Source organism: Homo sapiens, chromosome X (assembly GCF_000001405.40).
Source record: "Homo sapiens chromosome X, GRCh38.p14 Primary Assembly".
In the NCBI taxonomy this organism is placed as follows: Eukaryota; Metazoa; Chordata; class Mammalia; order Primates; family Hominidae; genus Homo; species Homo sapiens.
Genome location: NC_000023.11, coordinates 134,824,767 through 134,847,809, shown reverse-complemented (window position 1 = coordinate 134,847,809; position 23,043 = coordinate 134,824,767). Strand labels below are relative to the sequence as shown.

The following is a 23,043-nucleotide window of genomic DNA, read 5'->3' as shown; positions in this document are numbered from 1 at the left end:
GGGGCAGGGATGGTAGGGAGGGAGACTGGGGTACAAAAGATCATTAGGAAATTGTTTTGAGTGTGGGAACTGTTCAATATCTTGATTATGGTTGTGGCTACAGGATTGTACACAATTACCAAAATTAATCTAACCCTATGCTTTAAAGTTGGTGAATTTTATTACATGTAAGTAATACTTGAAGAAATGAAAAAGAAGGGAAAAATGTTAGTTAGAATCAGATGTACTGTGACAAAATATATCCCCCAAAATATTTGTTTTGGTGACCATTAATGTTCCTAAATATTTCCTAACTATTTCAAGAGACATAGACTTTTAGGTACTCCTTTCTTACCTTCCCAGTCTTCTTGATGGAAGAAGCCATTGAGGATACTGGAGTTAAATCAATGCACTTTAGAGAGGATGATTTCTGTAAGCCATTGTCATTCTGTGTAAGCAGAAAGCAGTGTACAATTGTAGCACCAATTGCTTATTAATCAAATACTTGAGATACCTGTTGCACAGGGAAGTGAGTCCTTACTACTGAGTCACTGGCTGCACCATGGTGAAGAGCTCTCGCCATCCTAAAGCAATCAGGGAACCCAAAATTCACTTCAATAAGCAAAGGCACCCTTTTCCCTTTTGGGGATGAGGGCTATATGGTGATTGAGGGGCTTCCCAGCATGCCAGAAAGTCCTAGAATGTGAGTACTCAACACTATAAACACAAATCCTAAATTTAAGCTCTTCTCTTTGGCTTTGACCTGTGCTTTGTTATTGAAAACTATAATACTACATCCAGGAAAGGACCAAAAAGGTTTTGGCTAGAACTTAGAAGCAAATGAGACAGCAGGAATAACTACATTTATGGAAATTGTCTCTAGATTTTACATAGACAAAATCAGTACTTCATAATTCAGGATTTTAAAATCTGCCCTTTTCTTTCTAAAACAAGCCAAGTGTGTATTACATGTGCCCTTCCTCTTCCTAACACACTTACGATTCTCTTACTCATCCATGCCAATACCTAAAGTAATTAGAATTGGGCCAGTTAAAGGACTCCAGCAGTATCGATCAATTGTATTAGCACCAAAACACAAAAAGTGACAGGCTCCAGAGATGACCTACTCATTCTCCTGGACCTACTCCAAAATCAGGGATAACTGCTCATGTAAGGTACTCAGGGCTCAAAGGAAAATAAAATGCCATTGCTTCTGCTGATGATCCATTTCCATATCAAATAATTCCCAAATCTGAAGATTGACATTAGTTAGAATCTCTCCTATTCAATTTTCAGCTCAGTACTTGTTTTGTCACTATCTGGGATGTCCATAGAAAAGAACACTAAATATCATTCAGCTACCACAACTAGGTAACCACAGTGTGCACACAGACATTTAAAAATGTTAACAAGAGATGAAACTAAATTCTAAGTATGTTTAAATTAAAGGTTTTATATTAAAATGTTAGTGGGAGAATGTGTTACAGGCTGATAATGGTGTGGCTGTGTCCCCACTCAAATCTCATCTTGAACTGTAATCCCCATAATCCCCACGTGTTGTGGAAGGAACCTGGTGGGAGGTAATAGAATCATGGGGGCAAATTCCCCAATGCTGTTCTCGTGGTAGTGAGTGAGTTCTCACGAGATTTGACGGCTTTATAAGCATCTGGAATTTCCCCTGCTGGCACTCATTCTATCTCCTGCCGCCCTGTGAAGAGGTGCCTTCTGCCATAATCGTAAGTTTCCTGAGGCCTCCCCAGCCATGCAGAACTGTGAGTCAATTAAACCTCTTTCCTTTGTAAATTACCCAGTCTTGGGTATTTCCTTATAGCAATGTGAGAACGGACTAACACACAGGCATAAAAATGCAATAATTTTCTAGAGAGTCTATTGTCTGTGGTTTAAGACTCCTAATATATAGTTCATAAATTATGGAGAAGGGAGTGAAATCATTTATTGTTTTGTTATCTAAGCACTTTAACTAGTGCAACTGAACTTTTATTATGCCTACTAGGACAGAGAAGAAACTGGTCCACAATAGCTATGGTTTTGTGTCACAAAACTGTTTACTTTGAACCCCACTTTCAAATAATGATAGCTATTTTTATGAGTAAATCATGAAGTATTTCTGAAGAGCAATCAAGGGCTAGGCGCAATGGCTCAAGCCTGTAATCCTAGCATTTTGGGAGGTTGAGGCAGGACGATCCATTGAGCTCAGGAGTTCAAGACCAGCCTGGACAACATAGTGAGACCTTGTCTCAAAAAAAAAAATTAAAAAGAGCACTCAAAAATTATTTATGCAACAGATACAATTTTTGTTTCAAAATAGAGCTTAGATTTCTAGAAATTACAGCAAAACTAGATATGCCGACACTGTAAGTCAGTAAAAATTTGAAATTTTCTACAAAACTGAAGTTATAATATCATACCAGTTTCAAGCCTTCTTCCCAAGAGTGACTTATCTGTATCTCACTTTGTAGCTTCCTACAAAAGAAATCAAAACTGCAGTTTGCCTATCTGAAAGAAAAGATATAATTAAGTATACAAATTATCAGAATAGTAATTCAAAGTACAGTACTCACCATTCAGACATTGTTTCTCTATTTATTAAATCCATGGCTTCTTCCTGTAAAGGTAGGAAAATGAGAATAAACTGAATACCCAGTTCCTATGGTTTTATAAAATTTGATTTCATTTGGATGCACCATTATTTTTATTCACTAGGCTATAGAAGAACTAGAGAATAAATAAATCTCTAAACAAGTATCTGGTTCTCTGCCCTTTATTGCTTCACAAATTATCACACCAAAGATCTATTATTTATGCATTACAGTACATCAGATATGCAGGAACTGATTAGATGAAAAACTTTGTACTTTTCTTTATTCAAAAGCAACAACATTAAGCATTCAAAATTATACAGTTTTCCCTAAACTTTTTAAAGGTCTACTAGGACAGAGAAGAAACTAGTCCACAATAGCTATGGATGGCCATTAATACTATGATATTAATAAAAATTACTCACAGTACACAGACAACAAATTAAATGTCTATCAGGGTAAGTTTGCTTAAGTAAATGATGAGACAAACATAATTTAAATCTAGTCATTGACATCAGAAAACAACTATTACATATTAAATGGGAGACAAATGGATCCTATTTATGTAAAATTGTAAGAGAGGTGCTCAGAAAGATGTTCACCAGAAACTTAACAGTGGTTATCAATGAGTAGTGAGATCTGGAGTAATGTGTTCTTTCTTCCTTTGTACATTGCTATATTATTTGACTTTTTATTAATATACAAGTATCATTTTCACATAGGTAGTTTTTTTTTTTTAATAACCCACCTACAGAAAGACATTCATGTTCATGGATTGGGACAATGTTTAGATGACAATTCCACCCAAAGTGATCAACAGATGCAATGCGCCCCTTACCAAAGTCCCAATCACATTTTTTACAGAAACAGAAAAACCCATCTGAAAATTCATATGGAATATTAAAGGACCCCAAATAGCCAAAGCAGTCTTTGAAAAGATGCACAAAGCTGGAGGATTCATACTTTCTGATTTCAAAACTTCCTACAAAACTACATAGTCAAAACAGTGTAGTTCTGGCATAAGAACAGATGCATACCAGCACTTTGTGAGGCCGAGGCAGGCGAATCACCTGAGGTTGGGAGTTCGAGACCAGTCTGGCCAACATGGTGAAACCTCTTCTCTACCAAAAATACAAAATGTAGCCAAGTGTGGTAGCATACACCTGTAATCCCAGCTACTCAGGAGGCTGAGGCACAAGAATTGCTTGAATCCTGGAGGCAAAGGTTGCAGTGAGCTGAAATTGCACTACTGTACTCCAGCCTGAATGACAGAGAGCAACACTCTGTCTCAAAAAAAAAAAAAAAAAAAAAAGAACATGCATATAGCAATGGAACAGAATAGAGCGCACAGAAATAAGCCTTCAAGCCGGGCGCGGTGGCTCACGCCTGTAATCCCAGCACTTTGGGCGGCCGAGGTGGGCGGATCACGAGGTCAGGAGATTGAGACCATCCTGGCTAACATGGTGAAACCCCGTCTCTACTAAAAGTACAAAAAATTAGTTGGGCGTGGTGGCAGGGGCATGTAGTCCCAGCTACTCGGGAGGCTGAGGCAGGAGAATTGCGTGAACCCGGGAGGCGGAGCTTGCAGTGAGCCGAGATCACGCCACTGCACTTTAGCCTGGGCGACAGAGCGAGACTCCGTCTCAAAAAAAAAAAAAAAAAAAAAAAGAAATAAGCCTTTACATAATACATGATCAAATGGTTTTCAACAGTGATGCCAGGACCATTCAATGGGGAAAGGACAATCTTTTCAACAAATGATGTTTAGAAAACTGGAGCTCTACATGCAAAAGAATGAAGTTGAACCCCCTTTTTTTTTTTTACCCTATGCAGAAATTCACTCGAAATGAATTAAAGACTTTAACTTAAAAGATAAAACTCTAAATCTCTTAGAAGATAACATAAGGTTAAATCTTCATGACACTGGATTTCACAATGATTTCTTGGATATGATACCAAAGGCACAGGCAACAAGAGAAAAAAAACAGATAAACTGGTCTTCATCAAAATTAAAAAACTTTTTTTTTTTTCTGAGATGGCGTGTCACTCTGTTGGCCAGGCTAGAGTGCAATGGTGTGATCTCGGCTCCTGCAACCTCTGCCTCCTGGGTTCAAGCGATTCTCCTGTCTCAGCCTCCTGAGTAGCTTGGATTACAGGCGCATGCCACCAGGCCCGGCTAATTTTTGTATTTTTAGTAGAGATGGGGCTTCACGTGTTGGTCAGGCTGGTCTTGAACTCCTGACCTTGTGATCCGCCCGTCTTGGCCTCCCAAAGTGCTGGGATTACAGGTGTGAGCCATGGCGCCCGGCCAAATTAATGCTTTTTTTTTTTTGAGACGGAGTTTTGCTCCTGTTGCCCAGGCTGGAGTGCAATGGCGCAATCTCAGCTCACTGCAACCTCTGCCTCCCGGATTCAAGCAATTCTCCTGCCTCAGCCTCCTGAGCAGCTGGGATTACAGGCACCCGCCACCACACCCAGCTAATTTTTGTATGTTTAGCAGAGATGGGGTTTCACCGTGTTGGCCAGGCTGGTTTCAAACTCCTGACCTCAGGTGATCCACCTGCCTCAGCCTCCCAAAGTGCTGGGATTACAGGCGTGAGCCACTGTGCCCGGACTTTTTTTTGAGACGGAGTCTCGCTCTGTTGCCTAGGCTGGAATGCAGTGGCGCGATCTCGGCTCACTGCAAGCTCCACCTCCCAGGTTCACACCATTCTCCCGATTCAGCCTCCTGAGTAGCTGGGACTACAGGTGCCCACCACCACGCCCAGCTAATTTTTTGTATTTTTAGTAGAGACGGGGTTTCACCATGTTAGACAGGATGGTCTCGATCTCCTGACCTCGTGATCCACCCACCTCGGCCTCCCAAAGTGCTAGGATTACAGGTGTGAGCCACCGCGCCCAGAGAAATTAAAAAAACTTTTGTGCATCAAATGACACTATCAAGAGAGTGAAAAGACAACTGGATAATTGGAGAAGATATCTGCAAATCATATATCTGAAAAGGAATGAATATCCAAAATATATACAGAACTCCTACCACACAGTGACAACAAAAACCAACCCAATTAAAATATGAGTAAAGAGACTGAATGTTTCTCCAAAGAATACATACAAATGACCAAAAAGCACATGAAAAGATGCTCAACATCATTTGTCATTATGGAAATGCAAACCAAAACCACAATGAGATGCCACTTTACCCCCATTAGGATAGTTTTTTTGTTGTTGCTTTTATATATTTTTTGAGACAGGATCTCACTCTGTCACACAGGCTGGAGTGCAGTGGTGCAATCTCAGCTCACTGAAACCTCTGCCTCCCAGGTTTAAGTGATTCTCATGTCTCAGCTTCCTAAGTAACTGGGATTTTATTTTTTTATTTATTTTTATTTTTATTTTTTTTTGGTGACAGAATCTCACTCTGTTGCCCAGGCTGGAGAGCAGTGACACGATCTCGGCTCAGTACAACCTCTGCCTCCCAGGTTCAAGCGATTCTCCTGCCTCAGACTCCCGAGTAGCTGGAATTACAGGTGCATGCCACCACACCCAGTTAATTTTTGCATTTTTAGTAGAGATGGGGTTTCACCATGTTGGCCAGCTGGTCTCAAACTCTTGACCTCAGATGATCTACCCACCTCTGCTTCCCAAAGTGCTGGGATTACAGGCGTGAGCCACTGCACCCAGCCAAATTTTTAAATTTTCTAAAAACATCGTTTCATCCTTATCTCATCCTTTTTTATATTTCTACTTTATATATATTCTATGATTCACATAATAGCACAGTGGTATATGTCCAAAATGTATAAGTAAATGCAGTGTACCTATGTTGGAGGCATGTACTCAAACATTTTCTCCTGATGTGATGTGTGATCAAAAGAGTTTAAAGATTTTCGTCTATAGTATAAATAATACATGTTTGGGGTAGTCCATAATAGAAGAGTGGTGTGAGTTGTGCGAAAGAATTAAAATTTGGCCACGCACAGTGGCTTATGCCTGTAATCCCAGCACTTTGGGAAGCCAAGGCAGGAGGAATCCTTGAGCTCACGAGTTCGAGATCAGCCTGGGTAACAACAAGACCTCATCTCTACTAAAAGAAAAAAAAAAATTAGCCGGGCACATGTGGTACACATGTCAGTAGACCTAGCTACTCAGGAGGCTGAAGTGGGAGGATCTTTTGAGCCTGGGAGATTGAAGCTGCAGTGAGCCACAATTGTGCCACTGCACTCCAGCCTGGCAACAATATGAGACCCTGTCTCAATAAATAAATAAATACATAAATAAATATTTGACCTAGTCCTTCAAAGATGTATAAAATATGAACAAGCAGTGAGTAGAGGGAAGGGTATTCCAAGCAGAAGAACCCATATGAACAAAAGTTTAGGAGAGGGAAAAAAATACAACAGATTTGGAGATAGTGAGACTACCTTGGCTGAAACTGAGTTTGTGCTACAAAGTAATGAGAGAGAAAACAGGAGAGGTAAGACAGGGCCAGTTTTACAGGTTCTTAAATAATCAAACAGTTTGAATTTAAAGAATTTGGGCAGAATCACGTCATTGTCAGGACCCCGGCTTTGGAGACAAACAGAACTGAGTCAAATCCCAGCTCTATAACCTACTACCTGTGCAAACTTAGGCAGGTGACGTCACCTGAGCGTCAGTTTCTTCATCCATATGAAGATGACGATAAGAATGAGGATGATGAGGTGGCTGTACAGTTCTCATCACACTGCCTGGCAAACAGTTCAGTGCTTAACACATATTAGCTATTTTTATTATTATTCAATAGGTAATGGGAAGCCATTGTGACATTTTGTATGGGGGGAAGAAAGTGAAAATGATGTTTTTTTTGTTTTGTTTTTGTTTTTTGTTTTTTTTTTTATTGATCATTCTTGCGTGTTTCTCGCAGAGGGGGATTTGGCAGGGTCTCAGGACAATAGTGGAGGGAAGGTCAGCAGATAAACAAGTGAACAAAGGTCTCTGGTTTTCCTAGGCAGAGGACCCTGCGGCCTTCCGCAGTGTTTGTGTCCCTGGGTACTTGAGAATAGGGAGTGGTGATGACTCTTAACGAGCACGCTGCCTTCAAGCATCTGTTTAACAAAGCACATCTTGCACCGCCCTTAATCCATTTAACCCTGAGTGGACACAGCACATGTTTCAGAGAGCACAGGGTTGGGGGTAAGGTCACAGATCTACAGGATCCCAAGGCAGAAGAATTCTTAGTACAGAACAAAATGAAAAGTCTCCCATGTCTACTTCTTTCTACACAGACACGGCAACCATCCGATTTCTCAATCTTTTCCCCACCTTTCCCCCCTTTCTATTCCACAAAACCGCCATTGTCATCATGGCCCGTTCTCAATGAGCTGTTGGGTACACCTCCCAGACGGGGCGGCTGGCCGGGCAGAGGGGCTCCTCACTTCCCAGTAGGGGCGGCCGGGCAGAGGCGCCCCTCACCTCCCGGACGAGGCGGCTGGCCGGGCGGGGGGCTGACCCCCCCACCTCCCTCCCGGACGGGGCGGCTGGCCGGGCGGGGGACTGACCCCCCCACCTCCCTCCTGGATGGGGCGGATGGCCGGGCAGAGGGGCTCCTCACTTCCCAGTAGGGGCGGCTGGGCAGAGGCACCCCTCACCTCCCGGATGGGGCGGCTGGCCTGGCGGGGGCTGACCCCCACCTCCCTCCCGGACGGGGTGGCTGCCGGGCAGAGACGCTCCTCACTTCCCAGACGGTGTGGCTGCCGGGCGGAGGGGCTCCTCACTTCTCAGACGGGGCGGCTGCTGGGCGGAGGGGCTCCTCACTTCTCAGACGGGGCGGTTGCCAGGCGGAGGGTCTCCTCACTTCTCAGACGGGGCGGCCGGGCAGAGATGCTCCTCACCTCCCAGACGGGGTCGCGGCCGGGCAGAGGCGCTCCTCACATCCCAGACGGGGCAGCGGGGCAGAGACGCTCCTCACTTCCTAGATGGGATGGCGGCCGGGAAGAGGCGCTCCTCACTTCCTAGATGGGATGGCGGCCGGGCAGAGACGCTCCTCACTTTCCAGACTGGGCAGCCAGGCAGAGGGGCTCCTCACCTCCCAGACGATGGGCGGCCAGGCAGAGATGCTCCTCACTTCCCAGACGGGGTGGCGGCCGGGCAGAGGCTGCAATCTCGGCACTTTGGGAGGCCAAGGCAGGCGGCTGGGAGGTGGAGGTTGTAGCGAGCCGAGATCACGCCACTGCACTCCAGCCTGGGCACCATTGAGCACTGAGTGAACCAGACTCCGTCTGCAATCCCGGCACCTCGGGAGGCCGAGGCTGGCAGATCACTTGCGGTTAGGAGCTGGAGACCAGCCCGGCCAACACAGCGAAACCCCGTCTCCACCAAAAAAATACGAAAACCAGTCAGGTGTGGCTGCGCGCGCCTGCAATCGCAGGCACTCGGCAGGCTGAGGCAGGAGAATCAGGCAGGGAGGTTGCAGTGAGCCGAGATGGCAGCAGTACAGTCCAGCTTCCGCTCGGCATCAGAGGGAGACTGTGGAAAGAGAGGGAGAGGGAGACCGTGGGGAGAGGGAGGGGGAGGGGGGAGGGGGGGAGGGGGGAGGGGGAGGGGGAGAGGGAGAGGGAGGAAAATGATGTTTTTTAAAAAAAAAAAATTTGGCCAGGCACAGTGGCTTGTGCCTGTAATCCCAGCACTTTGGGAGGCCGAGGTGGTTGGATCACGAGGTCAGGAGATCGAGACCATCCTGGCTAACACGGTGAAACCCCGTCTCTACTAAAATTAGCTGGGCGTGGTGGCAGGTGCCTGTAGTCCCAGCTACACGGGAGGCTGAGGCAGGAGAATGGCGTGAACCCAGAAGGCAGAGGTTGCAGTGAGCCGAGATTGCGCCACTGCACTCCAGCCTGGGCGACAGAGCGAGACTCTGTTCCAAAAAAAAAAAACATTTATCTTGGTCTTCATTGTGGAAGTTGGATAAACTGGGAGAAACAGAAAATCTACTGGGATATTATTTCAGTAATCTAGACCCATGGGACAGAAGAAGGAAGCAGCAGTGACAACAAAGAGGATATTGTCAAGGAAGAATTAGTAGGATTAGAAGCCTAATTGGATACAGTAGAAAAATAAGGAAGAACTGAAGAAAAATCAAGAGCTTTGAGTCTTAAACCTGTGACTATTTTGATACCATACAATGAGGTATCAAATCGAGAGCTTTGAGTCTTAAAACTGTGACTATTTTGATACCACACAATGAGGTACAGAAAATGAGGGAATTGGAAAAGGTAATTTAAGAAGATAATTAGTCTTTTAAAAGCAATGGAATAACAGTAAATTCAGCAAAATGTAATTGTTAGTATAGTTCTTCAATTTAATATTATATAGATAGTCTCCTCTAGTGTGAAACTCAAAGTATTTTGTAGTTCATTCGGTCAACAAGTACAGAGCAGGTAGTTTTGTGAAACTGAGATAGAATTCTGCTTAATATTCCTCCCACTGAAAGTTGGAGCATTAGCTAAAATCAGCTATTGAAGGTTGTTAGGAGAAGAGTGTTGACTCTTTTTCATTTATGTCTTGCCTATTTCCAAAATGGATTTGAGATGGTTTATAATAAAATAAGATTATTAAAATAAGTATAAAAGGTCAACAGCCATGCATTATAACTGTAAGAAGCAGAGTACAGTATACTAGAAACCTAGTTTAAGGAGAATTGTTATACTTGGATGTTAAAGTTAGCTTTCCATTTTTCAGGATACATGGTAAAAATGGGAACTGTAAGTTACCAACTTTTGCTCTCCGAGGAGACTACATCTGAAAGATTTTAGTTACTGAGTGCCTGCACAGTACCCAATAAAGGCTTGTTGAAAGAATGAAACAATCTGTAAACTAAAATCAAATTTAAATTTTTTTTTTTTGGAGAAGGAGTCTTACTTTGTCACACCAGCTGGAGTGAGTGCAGTGGTACAATCTCAGCTCACTGCAACCTCTGGTTCCCGGGTTCAAGCGATTCTCCTGCCTCAGCCTCCCGAGTAGCTGGGATTACAGGCATGCCTCACCAGGTCTGGCTAATTTTTATATTTTTAGTAGAGATGGGGTTTCTTCACGTTGGTCAGGCTGGTCTCGAACTCCTGACCTCAGGTGATCCACCCGCCTCGGCCTTCCAAAGTGCTGGGATTACAGGCGTGAGCCACCGTGCCCGGCCAGCAAATTAAAAAAAAAATTTTTTTAAAGACGGAGTCTTCTTATGTTGCCCAGGCTGGTCTTGAACTCCTGGCCTCAAGTGATCCTCCTGCTTTGGCCTCTCAAGTCACTGGAATTACAGGCACGAACCACCACGCCCAGCTCAATTTCTTCTTATTGATTTTTACTTAAGACACTACAGAGAAAGTTAAGTTGTTACTGGGTGCCAATGACTCATATCCTGTTTAACAAATCAGGAATTAAATATAAAGCTATATAACAAAAAACTGTGAGCAGACTGTTATGGGTTGAATTGTGTCCCCTCAAATTCCTGTGTTGAAGTCCTAATCCCCAGTGCCTCAGGATGTGACCTTATTTAGAGACAGAATATATTCAGAAGCAAGCAGATTAGGATGAGGTCATTAGGGTGGGCCCTAATCCAATATGACCGCTGTCCTTCATGAAAAGGAGAAACTTAGAAACAAACACATGTACACGGAGAACACTATGTGAACATGAAGATAGCCATCAACAAGCCAAGGGCAGAGGCCTGGAGCAGATCCTCCCTCACAGTTCTCAGAAGGAATCAACCCTACTGACACCTTTATCTCAGACTTCTAGCCCTAAGAAATGTGAAACAATATATTTCTGTTGTTTAAGCCGCCCAGTTTGTGATACTTTGCAATGGCAGCCTGAGCAAATATACAAACTGTTTCTGCATGGCACTAATTTATGTTTAGAGCTTTGGGAAACAGGGAACTACAGACTGAATGCATTCGGATCTTTTGGAATACAAGCTCAATTTTTATTAGGGGCCACACGTGGTGGCTCATGCCTGTAATGCCAGTACTTTGGGAGCCTGAGGCAGGAGTACCACTTGAGGCCAGGATTTCAGGACCAGCCTGGGCATCACAGGGAGACGTCATCTCTCCAAAAATTTAAAAAAATGGCCAGGCGTAGTGGCTCATGCCTGTAATCCCAGCACTTTGGGATGCCGAGGCGGGTGGATCACCTGAGGTCAGGAGTTCTAGACCAGTCGGACCAATATGGTGAAACCCCGTCTCTACTAAAAATACAAAAGTTAGCCAGGTGTGGTGGTGGGTGCCTGTAGTCCCAGCTACTCGGGAGGCTGAGACAGGAGAATTGCTTGAACTCGGGAGGCGAAGGTTGCAGTGAGCCGAGATCATGCCACTGCACTCCAGCCTAGGCAACAGAGCGAGACTCCGTCTCAGAAATAAATAAATTAATTAAATAAAATAAAAAAATTATCCAGGCATAGTGGTGTGCACCTGTAGTCCTAGCTAGTTGGGAGGCTGAGGCAAGAGGATCACTTTAGCCCAGAAGGTTGAGGCTGCAGTGAGCTATGATCATGCCACTACACTCCAGCCTGGGCAACACAGCAAGAACCTGTCTGAAAAATAAATAAATAAAATAAAATTTTTATTAGAAAGGAAAATTACACAAAATAATTCCTATGTAGGAATAATAACTGTGTTTAGAAAATTAACTTCTAGCTTGATGTCTCAGTCTCTTTAATACTTAGAAAACAGCTAACAACAACAGTTGAGAAGAAATTGTCCATTACCTGCTTAATAGGAAAGGTGTAACATAAACCAAATATTGGCCCAGAACCTAACATTGACTTGGAGCTGTGTGTTCATTTAAAATTAAAAGCAAATTTCATCATACTATTTTACAGGAGGCCAGGCGCGGTAGCTCATGCCTGTAATCCCAGCACTTCGAGAGGCCAAGATGGGCGGATCACCTGAGGTCAGGAGTTTGAGACCAACATGGTGAAACCCCCTCTCTACCATGGCCAACATGATGAAACCCCCTCTCTACTTAAAAAAAAAAAAATTTAGCTGGGTGGGGTGGTGGGCGCCTGTAATCCCAGCTACTCGGGAGGCTGAGGTTACAGAATCGCTTGAACCAGGGAGGCAGACGTTGCAGTGAGCCGAGATCGTGCCACTGCACTCCAGCCTGGGCGACAGAGTAAGACTCCGTCTAAATAAATAAATAAATAAAAATTAAAAAAACTATTTAACAGGAAATAGAGGATAAAACAACATAGTAACACCACATGGAAGCAAAATCAGAATGTGGGACATTTTACAGGACAAATGGACTCCCTGGTTTCTTCAATAAATAAGAGGCATGGAACAAAAAACAGGCAGAAAATGCTGTTTTACAGCATGGTGCTGGTACCAAAACAGAGATATAGACCAATGGAACAGAACAGAGACCTCAGAAATAACACCACACATATACAACCATCTGCTCTTCAACAAACCTGACAAAAATAAGCAATGGGGAAAGGATTTCCTATTCAATAAATGGTGCTGGGAAAACTGGCTAGCCATATGCAGAAAACTGAAACTGGACCCCTTCCTTATACTTTATACAAAAATTAACTCAAGATGGATTAAAGATTTAAATGTAAAACCCAAAACCATAAAAACCCTAGAAGAAAACCTAGGCAATACCATTCAGGACATAGGCATGGGCAAAGACTTCATGATGAAAATGCCAAAAGCAATTCTAACAAAAGCAAAAATTGACAAATAGGATCTAATTAAACTAAAGAACTTCTGCACAGCAAAAGAAATTATCATCAGCGTGAACAGGCAACCTACAGCATAGGAGATAAGTTTTGCAATCTACCCATCTGACAAAGGTCTAATATCCAGAATCTACAAGGAACTGAAACAAGAAAAAACAAACAACCCCATCAAAAAGTGGGCAAAAGATATGAACAGACACTTCTCAAAAGAAGACATTTATGTGGCCAACAAACATACGAAAAAAAGCTCAACATCACTGATCATTAGAGAAATGCAAATCAAAACCACAGTGACATACCATCTCATGCCAGTCAGAATGGCGATGACTAAAAACTCAAGAAACAATAGATGCTGGCAAGGCTGTGGAGAAATAGGAACGCTTTTACATTGTTGGTGGGAATGTAAATTAGTTCAACCACTGTGGAAGACGGTGTGGCGATTCCTCAAGGATCTAGAACCAGAAATATCATTTGACCCAGAAATCCCATTACTGAGTATATACCCAAAGGAATATAATTCATTTTACCATAAAGACACATGCACACGCATGTTTACTGCAGTACTATTTACAATAGCAAAGACATGGAACCAACCTGAATGCCCATCAATGATAGACAGGATAAAGAAAATCTGGTACATATACACCATGGAATACTATGCAGTCATAAAAAGGAATGAGATCATGTCCTTTGCAGGGACATGAATGAAGCTGGAAGCCATCATCCTCAGCAAACTAACACAGGAACGGAAAACCAAACAATGCATGTCCTCACTCCTAAGTGGGAGTTGAACAATGAGAACACATGGACACAGGGAGGGGAACAACACACATCAGGGCCTGTTGCGGGGTGGGTGGTGAGGGGAGGGAACCTAGATGACAGATCAATAGGTGCAGCAAACCACCATGGAACACGTATACCTATGTGACAAACCTGCACATTCTGCCCATGTATCCTGGAACATAAATAAAATAAAATAAAAATGCTGTTTTAAATAAAAGAGATCTAAGAGATATATATCAACTAAATGTCATATTTGGATTGTGTTTGGATCAGTTAAAAAATGCATTTTTAAGAATTAGGAAAAATATAACATGGATTTAGATGACATTAAGGAATAAGGTAATTTGTTATGCATAATGATGGCATTGTGATTATGGAGAAAAAAAGTCCTTCTCATACCCATAAACTTGGGTAAAAAGATATGTCAGAAATTTAAAGCACTCTCTCCCACCCCTAAAAGAGAAGCAGATCGATGAAAAAGGATGTACAAAATGTGGATAATTGTTAAAGCTGGGTGTTAGGTACATGAAGATTCTATATTCCATGTTTTAAATTTTCCATTTAAAAAGATTTTTTTTAATGCAGTACTCTTGGCATTATGCATAATTACTTACAGTCATCCCTTGGTATATGTGGGGAATTGGTTCCAGCACCCCCCCACTGCAATACCAAAATCCACACATCCTCAAGTCCACAGTGGGCCTTCTGGAACCCGAGGATACAAAAAGTCACCCATACGTATAGGAGGGTTTCACATCACACGCCATTCAAATCCATGTTGTTCAAGTTTGGAGGTTCCTCAAAAAATGAAAAATAGAGTTACCATATGATCCAGCAATCTCACTCCAAGGTATATCACCCACCAAAAAGGAAATCAGCATATAGAAGAGATATCTACATTCCCATGTTTATTGCAGCACTGTTTACAATACCTAAGATTTGGAAGCAGCCTAAGTGTTCATCAACAGATGAATGGATAAAGAAAATGTGATACATATAAACAGTGGAGTACTATTCAGCCATAAAAAGAATGAGATCCAGGCTGGGCACGGTGGCTCACGCCTGTAATCCCAGAATTTTGGGAGGCTGAGGCAGGCAGGATCACCTGAGGTCAGGAGTTCGAGACCAGCCTGGGCAACATGGCGAAACCCTGTCTCTACAAAAAATACAAAAATTAGCCTGTCGTGGTGGCGTGGGCCTATAAACCTAGCTACTCAGCAGGCTGAGGCAGGAAAATCACTTGAACCTGGGAGGCAGAGGTTGCAGTGAGCTGAGATGGCGCCACTGTACTCCAGCCTGGGTGATAGAGCAAGACTGTCTCAAAAAAAAAAAAAAAAAAAAAAAAAAAGGGATCCAGTCGTTTGTAGCAACATGGATGAAACTGGAGGTCATTATGTTAAGTGAAATAAGCCAGGCACAGAAAGACAAACATCGCATGTTCTAACTTATCTTCTTTTTTCTTTTTTTTGAGACGGAGTCTCTCTCTGTCACCCAGGCTGGAGTGCAGTGGCGCGATCTCGGCTCACTGCAACCTCCGCCTCCCAGGTTCAAGTGATTCTTTAGCCTCAGCCTCCTGAGTAGCTGAGATTACAGGCACCCACCACGCACGGCTAATTTTTGTATTTTTGGTAGAGACGGGGTTTCACCATGTTGGCCAGACTGGTCTCGAACTCCTGACCTCAAGTGATCTGCCCACCTCAGCCTCCCAAAGTGCCGGGAATACAGGCGTGAGCCACTGCGCCCAGCCTCATGTTCTTGCTTATTTGTGGGAGGTAAAAATTAAAACACTTGAACTCATGGAGATAGAGATTAGAAGGATGGTTACCAGAGGCTGGGAAGGGTAAATGAGGGGTGGCGAGGAAGTGGGATGGTTAATGGGTACAAAAATATAGTTAGAAAGAACAAATAAGACTCAGTATTTGCTAGCACAACAGGGTGACTATAGTCAATAATAATTTAATTATACATTTAAAAATAACTAAAAGGATAATTGAATTGTTTGTAACACAAAGGATAAATGCTTGAAGGGATGGATACTCCATTTACCCTGATGTGATTATTACATGTTGCATACCTATATCAAAGTATCTCATGTACCCCATGGCACCTGTAAAAATTAAATTAATTACTTTTTAAAAACCCAGGTTGTTGAAGGGTCAGTTGTAATTCTTTTCATCCTCAAAACGATTCTATGAGATAGCCAATATTATTCCCCCCATTTTGAAAAATCAATGCCCTTATTAATGTTGTTAAAGTGAAAGTTCAGAAGGTAATGGGGAGAGAACCAGACATTTCTGTTTTGCACTTAAAAGGTTAAGTTTAATAGGGACAAAGAAGTCAGTCAAAGAATGCATGTAAAGAAATATGCAACTTATGCCAGGCACAGTGGCTCACCCCTGTAATCCCAGCACTTTGGGAGGCTGAGGTGAGCAGATCACTTGAGGTCAGGAGTTCGAAACCAGCCTGACCAACATGGTGAAACCCTATCTCTACTAAAAATACAAAAAAATTAGCCGGGTGTGGTGGCACGCACCTGTGATCTCAGCTACTTGGGAGGCTGAGGCAGGAGAATCCCTTGAACCCAGGAGGTGGAGGTTGTAGTGAGCTGAGACAGCACCACTGCACTCCCGCCTGGGTGACAGAGTGAGACTCCATCTCAAAAACAAAGAAAAAAAAAAAAGAAATATGCAACTTAAGATATCTATCAGACCATTAAACTGCTGAAAATAAGTCTTAATTTTCCATTCAATCAGTATCCAGATTGAAAATTAATGTTTTTCTCTTTTCCCATCTCATTCATTTTCTACTTATATTTCATTTTTAAATATTTATAATACATATTATGTTACTATGGAAATAAACTGCATTAAACTTATATTCCTAACCAGTGTAAATTAGGATTTATATCAAGCTTCACCAGCAAATAGCAACACATAACCCATTTTCAAATATTTGGTTTAATTTAGGAGAAGCAAAGAAACATATTGCACAGATAAACACGAGGTCACTTTACTCCTTTGAACTTGTTTCATTCCTTAAGAATTTCTAAAATAGCTACATACAAAGACAGGAGTAAAAGCAAGTTTTACCCACTAAAAAGTAAAAAAAACAGCCTGGCACGGTGGCTCACGCCTGTAATCCCTGCAATTTGGGAGGCCGAGGTAGGCAGATCACCTGAGGTCAGGAGTTCAAGACCAGCCTGGACAACATGATGAAACCCCGTCTCTACTAAAAATACAAAAATTAGCCGGGCGTGGTGGCAGGCGTCTGTAATCCCAGCTACTTGGGAGGCTTAGGCAGGAGAATCGCTTGAACCTGGGAGGTGGAGGTTGCAGTGAACCAAGATGGAGCCACTGCACTCCAGTCTGGGCAACAGAGCGAAACTCTGTCTCAAAAAAAAAAAAAAAAAAAAAAAAAGGAAAAAAACCATTTTTACCATACTTTCTTGCTAGTGGATAAGCTGACCTTAGGGAAGCCATGCCACAGGGGTGAAAGGGAGAGAGGGAAAAGAAGCAAGAGTTGGAGGACTAATAACTAGGATTACAAGATGGTATTATGGGCTTTGTGCACTGAAACAGGGAAAGGGGAGCTGGAAAATAATCCAGTAATCTGGGGCCAAATCTTGGCTCTGACATTCACCAACTCTGGAGATTGGGTAAATTGCTAAATTTCTCCCCTTTTTAGTTTCTGACCTTATAAAGTTGTTGTAAGATAAAATGAGACCACAAATGTAAAGTACCTGTTAGTACTAAGTGAATAATAAGTTAAGCCTCTCTTGGGGGAAAAAATGTCTGCTTGTAGCTGGGTCAAAGAAAAAAATACCACCTGTGGGGTAGTGGTGATTTGATCTTTTGAGTTCTGTGGCTAATCCTTGGATAATTAAAAGGTTGAATTCTGTATTATGCTTGTGCTATTAAGCATGCATGTGCACATGAGTGCACACCCACCCACCCACATACACCCTCCCAACCACATACACAAACACAAACACACAAACACAGAGACGTGCATGCGTGCACATGGGCACAAAATATAAACCAGTGAGGTACAATGTGTCCCTGAACTCAGATCACTAAGAACAAAACAATAGCATGAAGGCCATTTTATCTGTCAAAAAAACTCATCTGAGGGTTAAAAAAATAATAACTACAGTTATTATGAAGCTGAAAATTAATTTTTATGTGTAGCATTCCACTTTCAGATCCCTGGAAGAAAGAAGCTAGACTCAAGGTATAAGAGTATGCAGTATTTCTAGAAATTATTAATTAATTAAAATAGCTAATAAGCCAAAAAAAGTGCTTCTTAGTTTTGTTTTTTTTTTGAAGAAATCATTCCTAGAAATAAAAACTTAATATTACACGTGACCTCACTTAGAATTACTGAAACATAGGTATTTTCACAAAGAAAAATAAAATTTACTTTTTTAAATGAACAGCTGTCAGTTTGGAAAGTCTTCTTACCTGTTTGATTTGATGAAGGCGGCTGATGGAACCATGAAAGGGAGGAGGTGGCAACAACTGAAATTTAAAATATAGAAGTCAAGCTTGCTTTAATGTTTGTGATTAATTACATCTCAACATTAAGTCAATGTTGAATTACCTAAAATATTTATTTAGTGTCTTATGCATGCCAGCAACAGTATCAGTTAGGTTCAAAGTTAAAAAAAGATCCAACTGGATCTTGACTGAAAATTATACTAATCAAAAATCAACACTTTCCAAAACAGAACAAAATAACTGTTATCATAATAAATACAGAGCAGAACATCAATAGAGGATTTTGTTTGTCTCTACCTTTTCTTTCCTAAGGCACTAGATCTTAAAATTGCCTCATTTTTCTTGCCAGTTTTAGCCCATCATTAAAGCTTAGGTAGAGGTATTACCCAGAACAAAAAGCTGAAACAGTCATTGAATCAGTAGCTAGCTTGCCAAGCATACTGCCCAAAAATCATAAACAGAATAACTACATCAAATATCCTGGAATCTAGCTGGGAAACCAAACTTTCATAATATGAAATGACTCTAAGGTAATCACTTTCAAGTCATTTAGCACATTTTACTCTTGGTTGCTAAGATACTTCTTGTCTAGGTCCTTTCTCTTTTTCGGGGCTACTTTTTCCTTTTCAGTCTTTTCTCAAAGCTTATGAGGACCCACACAAGAGGGGAATGAAAGAATGGAGGGATTTAAAGCTAAGTGTGAAAATGAGGCTTGAAAATTACCTTCAGAATTCATCTGTAAACTCTTTCTGTACCGTGGTTATTTCTTAAAATGCCAGATAATGTGTTTACCATATCTTAGTTTCAAATTCTATCTTAAGAGCACATTGAGTTGTACATTCAAAATATTGAATGAGGCCGGGCGCGGTAGCTCATGCCTGTATTCCCAGCACTTTGGGAGGCCAAGGCAGGCAGATCACTTGAGGCCAGGAGTTCAAGACCAGCCTGGCCAACATGGTGAAACCCCATCTCTACTAAAAATACAAAAATTAGCCATGCGTGGTGGCATGTGCCTCTGATCCCAGCTACTTGGGATTTTTAAGAAAAATAAAAGACCTGGAGGCCAGGCACGGGAGGCTCATGCCTATTATTCCGGCACTTTGAGAGGATCACTTGAGGCCAGGAGTTCAAGACCAGCCTAAGCAAGATGGCAAACACCCACCTTTACAAATATACATATATATATATATATATATATAGAGAGAGAGAGAGAGAGAGAGAGAGAGAGAGAGAGAGCACTGAGCTAGACTCTGAAGATCGAAAGATAAATAAGACATTTTCCTGTCCTTGAGCAAGTCAAAGTCTAAGTCTAGTTAGCAGAAACTAGGTCACAGCCAAATGGCAGAACAGAGTTACGATTTGGGTTCAAAGGACAGAGTTCAAAGGACAGAGAACTCTGTGTGGGTCTTGAGGAAGTCTTCATAGAGGAGTAGCAACTCATTAGATAGAGAAGAGGAGGGAGGACATTTCAAGGAGTGAGAGGAAACACTCAGGCAGAGAGGAATGTTCAGGGAACAGAAAGGTTCAGGGTGGCTGAAACTTAGTACCTGCGAGGGTACAACAGGAAACAAATTTAGGGAAATTAGGCTAAAACCAGATTGTAGTTTTTGGACTTTAGCCTTTGAGCACAATAGGAAACCCAGAGCATAGATTCCTCTGAGTTCTTAAACCTCAAAGCTGTTTAAACAAGATCATATCTGCTTTAAAAAGGTAACCCTAGCAACATCATGCAGAACACATTGATGGTGGATGGAAGAGGGACTAGACGCAGGGTCACAGGCCAGGTCACAGATGGTGAGGGTCTAAATGAAAAAGGGAGAGTGAAGAGAAGGAGGTAGATTGGAGAAATGACCAGAAGGTTGAAAAAGAGGTTGCTAAGGTTCCCAGTAGAAACCAATAGATGGAGTGTGGCCATGAAAGGCAGTAAGAGGAGTGAGTTAGTGAGTGGAGGGAAGATGAGTGTTCAAAAAGTATGTGTTGGGCCATGTGTGGTGGCTCATGCCTGTAATCCCAGCACTTCGGGAGGGGGAGGCGGAGGCGGGTGGATCACTTGAGGTCAGGAGTTTGAGACCAGCCTGGCCAACATAGTGAAACCCTGTCTCTCCTAAAAATACAAAAATTAGCCAGGCATGGTGGCGGGTGCCTGTAACCCCAGCTACTCAGGAGGCTGAGGCAGAAGAATCACTTGAACCTGGGAGGCAGAGCTTACAGTGAGCTGAGATCGTGCCACTGCACTCCAGCCTGGGGAACAGAGCAAGACACCATCTCCAAATAAATAAATAAATAAATACATACATAAAATAAAGTATGTGTTGGATAAATAAATGTTTCTATGAAGCAGATAGTCTGAATTTTTGTTGGGTTTTAAAATGTATCATATTGCTGCTTAAGGAATATATCACCTCACTAATTATATGTTGCTTAAAGTATTAAAATCAGTTTGTTTTTTTTCAAATCATTTGCTAGAAAGTAGAAGAAACAGCCAAGGTTGTAAAAATAACAATAGAAAATTGGTATGTGGGTAACTGAAAATTTACTACATATAAATTTTATTTGACAATTAGCAACAACTACTTCACCACAATAATTCGCTATTGTCAAAATATGGCTAGCTGTTAAGTATTTCACTATTTTTTGAATACTTGCTATGTTTAATGAGCTATTTTTCTGCTCAGAGGGGAATGAGAGAATTTTTTTCTTAAAAAAAAAAGACAGCTAATAAGCTGTTGTTATTACCCTCAGTTATTACTCAGAGACCTTACAATCCACTGAAGAAACCAGTCTTGGAAGCAGATTTTATATAAGAGACAAGGAAGTGCATGTCAAATGAAAGCAAAGTGGGGTGGGAATAAAAAGCAAAGATGAAGTGGGTGTGTGTAGGGGCTGGGAGGTGGAAGACAAATAAGAAAGGCATAAGGTGGTATTTCAGTTGGACCTTCAGAACAAGGAGTTTGCCAGCATAAGCAACAGAAAAGTGAAAGTGCTTGGCATGTTTTAAGACAGGATACTGGCCCTGTGTGAGTGGCACACCAAGTTCGTGGAGGGAGAAAGGACTCTGAGGCCAAAAGCGTGAAGATATTAGAAAGCTTTAAATGTCATGCTCAAAGAGTTTGAACTGTGGGAAAATGATCTACTCTGTTATACATAGGAGAAGAGCAGGTTACACCTAATAGCACCATCTATTTAACTTTGGAATAGATATACTCAGATACATATCATCAGCCCTGAGCCTGGTTCTATTGCTATCCAGAGAATGGGTATAAACATGTCACTCTGGATGCGGTGGCTCACACCTGTAATCCTAGCACTTTGACAGGCCAAGGCAGGCAGATCACTTGAGGTCAGGAGTTCAAGACCAGCCTGGCCAACATGGTGAAACCCCATCTCTACTAAAGACAAAAAAAAAAAAAAAAAAAAAGATCCGGGCGTGGTAGCAGGCGCCTATAATCTCAGCTACTCTGGAGGCTGCCACAGGAGAATCACTTGAACCTGGGAGGCGGAGGTTGCAGTGAACCAAGATCAACTGCATTCCAGCCTGGATGACAGAGCAAGACTGACTCAAAAAATAATAATAATAAAAAAAATCTGACAGTTGTGGACTCTTGACTGGCGCATAACTCAGACTGGCCTGTACTAATCATGTTCCAGGGTTGATATCTTAAGGAAATTTGTAATTCAAATCAATAATGCTACTAGCTGACCCTTCTAACAAAAGTCAGAAATCTTTTCTGGATAAAACTTATATTAAAGGGATACATTGGATATATAATTTGTTGCTATAGGCAATAGTGTTATGAACAACATGCTAGAGTTGCTGTTTTAAGCATCTATTTAATGTGATAATGGTGATAATACATGTAATGTGTTTAGCACAGCACCTGGCACAGAGTTTGTGCTAAATAAATGGTAACTATTACTACTACCACCATTATTACTACCATCATCAAACACTCTAGAATACATCCTTTAATGATACATAAACAATTTGAATTATATGCTAAGTATTTATAAAACTAGGCTATCTGTCCCCTGTTACCCAGCAGTTTCCAGTCTTTTCCTATTTGAACTTTCATTTATTTATTTTTAATATATTTTATTTTTTAGAGCACTCTTCAGTTCACAGCGAAATTGAACAGAAATTATAAAGAGTTCCCACATACCCCCCTCCGGCTCTCACACAAGTGCAGCCTCTCCCACTACCAACATCCCTCACCAGAATGGTGCATTTTTTACAACCAATGAACCTGCATTGGCACATCATTACCACCCAAAGTTCATAGTTTACATTTAGGTTCACTCCTGGTGTTGGACATGCTAAGGGTTTTGTATGACATGCATCCATCATTATAGTATGGTACAGAATAGTTTCACTGTCCTAAAATTCCCCTATGCTCTGCCTGTTTGTCCTGATCTTTTATTTTTTTTCTTTTTTCTTTTTTTGAGAAGGAATCTCAGTCTGTCACCCAGGCTAAAGTGCAGT

The 23,043-nt window shown here is 41.8% G+C and overlaps 1 protein-coding gene across 30 annotated transcripts in view, besides 1 other annotated feature; it reads right to left on the bottom strand.

The window, feature by feature from the left end:
- PABIR3 (PABIR family member 3) overlaps window positions 1-23,043 on the bottom strand; it is a 68,408-nt gene that overhangs the window by 16,962 nt on the left and 28,403 nt on the right. For 14 of the 30 annotated variants that reach the window (NR_158603.2, XM_005262382.2, XM_011531296.3 and 11 more), the window contains 4 exons: window positions 18,528-18,584; window positions 2,562-2,605; window positions 2,409-2,463; window positions 335-427 (listed from right to left, as the gene is read on the bottom strand). Coding sequence is in view for 27 of the 30 variants with exons in the window: in XM_005262382.2 (XP_005262439.1) it covers window positions 335-427; window positions 2,409-2,463; window positions 2,562-2,605; window positions 18,528-18,584 (249 nt within the window). In the remaining 3 variants the exon portion in view is untranslated. Of the gene's footprint in view, window positions 1-334; window positions 428-2,408; window positions 2,464-2,561; window positions 2,606-7,317; window positions 9,084-10,475; window positions 10,500-14,620; window positions 14,866-18,527; window positions 18,585-23,043 lie in introns of those variants that run through there. The other 16 variants (XM_005262383.3, XM_005262386.4, NM_001170779.3 and 13 more) reach the window with 8 other exon arrangements.
- Window positions 15,526-15,740: a silencer, noted in NCBI's record as "fragment chrX:133966100-133966314 (GRCh37/hg19 assembly coordinates)". NCBI's record gives its function as "represses an EF-1alpha promoter that drives an FKBP-Casp9 reporter gene in an ReSE screen in phorbol 12-myristate 13-acetate-treated (for megakaryocytic differentiation) K562 erythroleukemia cells {active_cell/tissue: K562(+PMA)}" and the evidence as "EXISTENCE:reporter gene assay evidence [ECO:0000049][PMID:32094911]".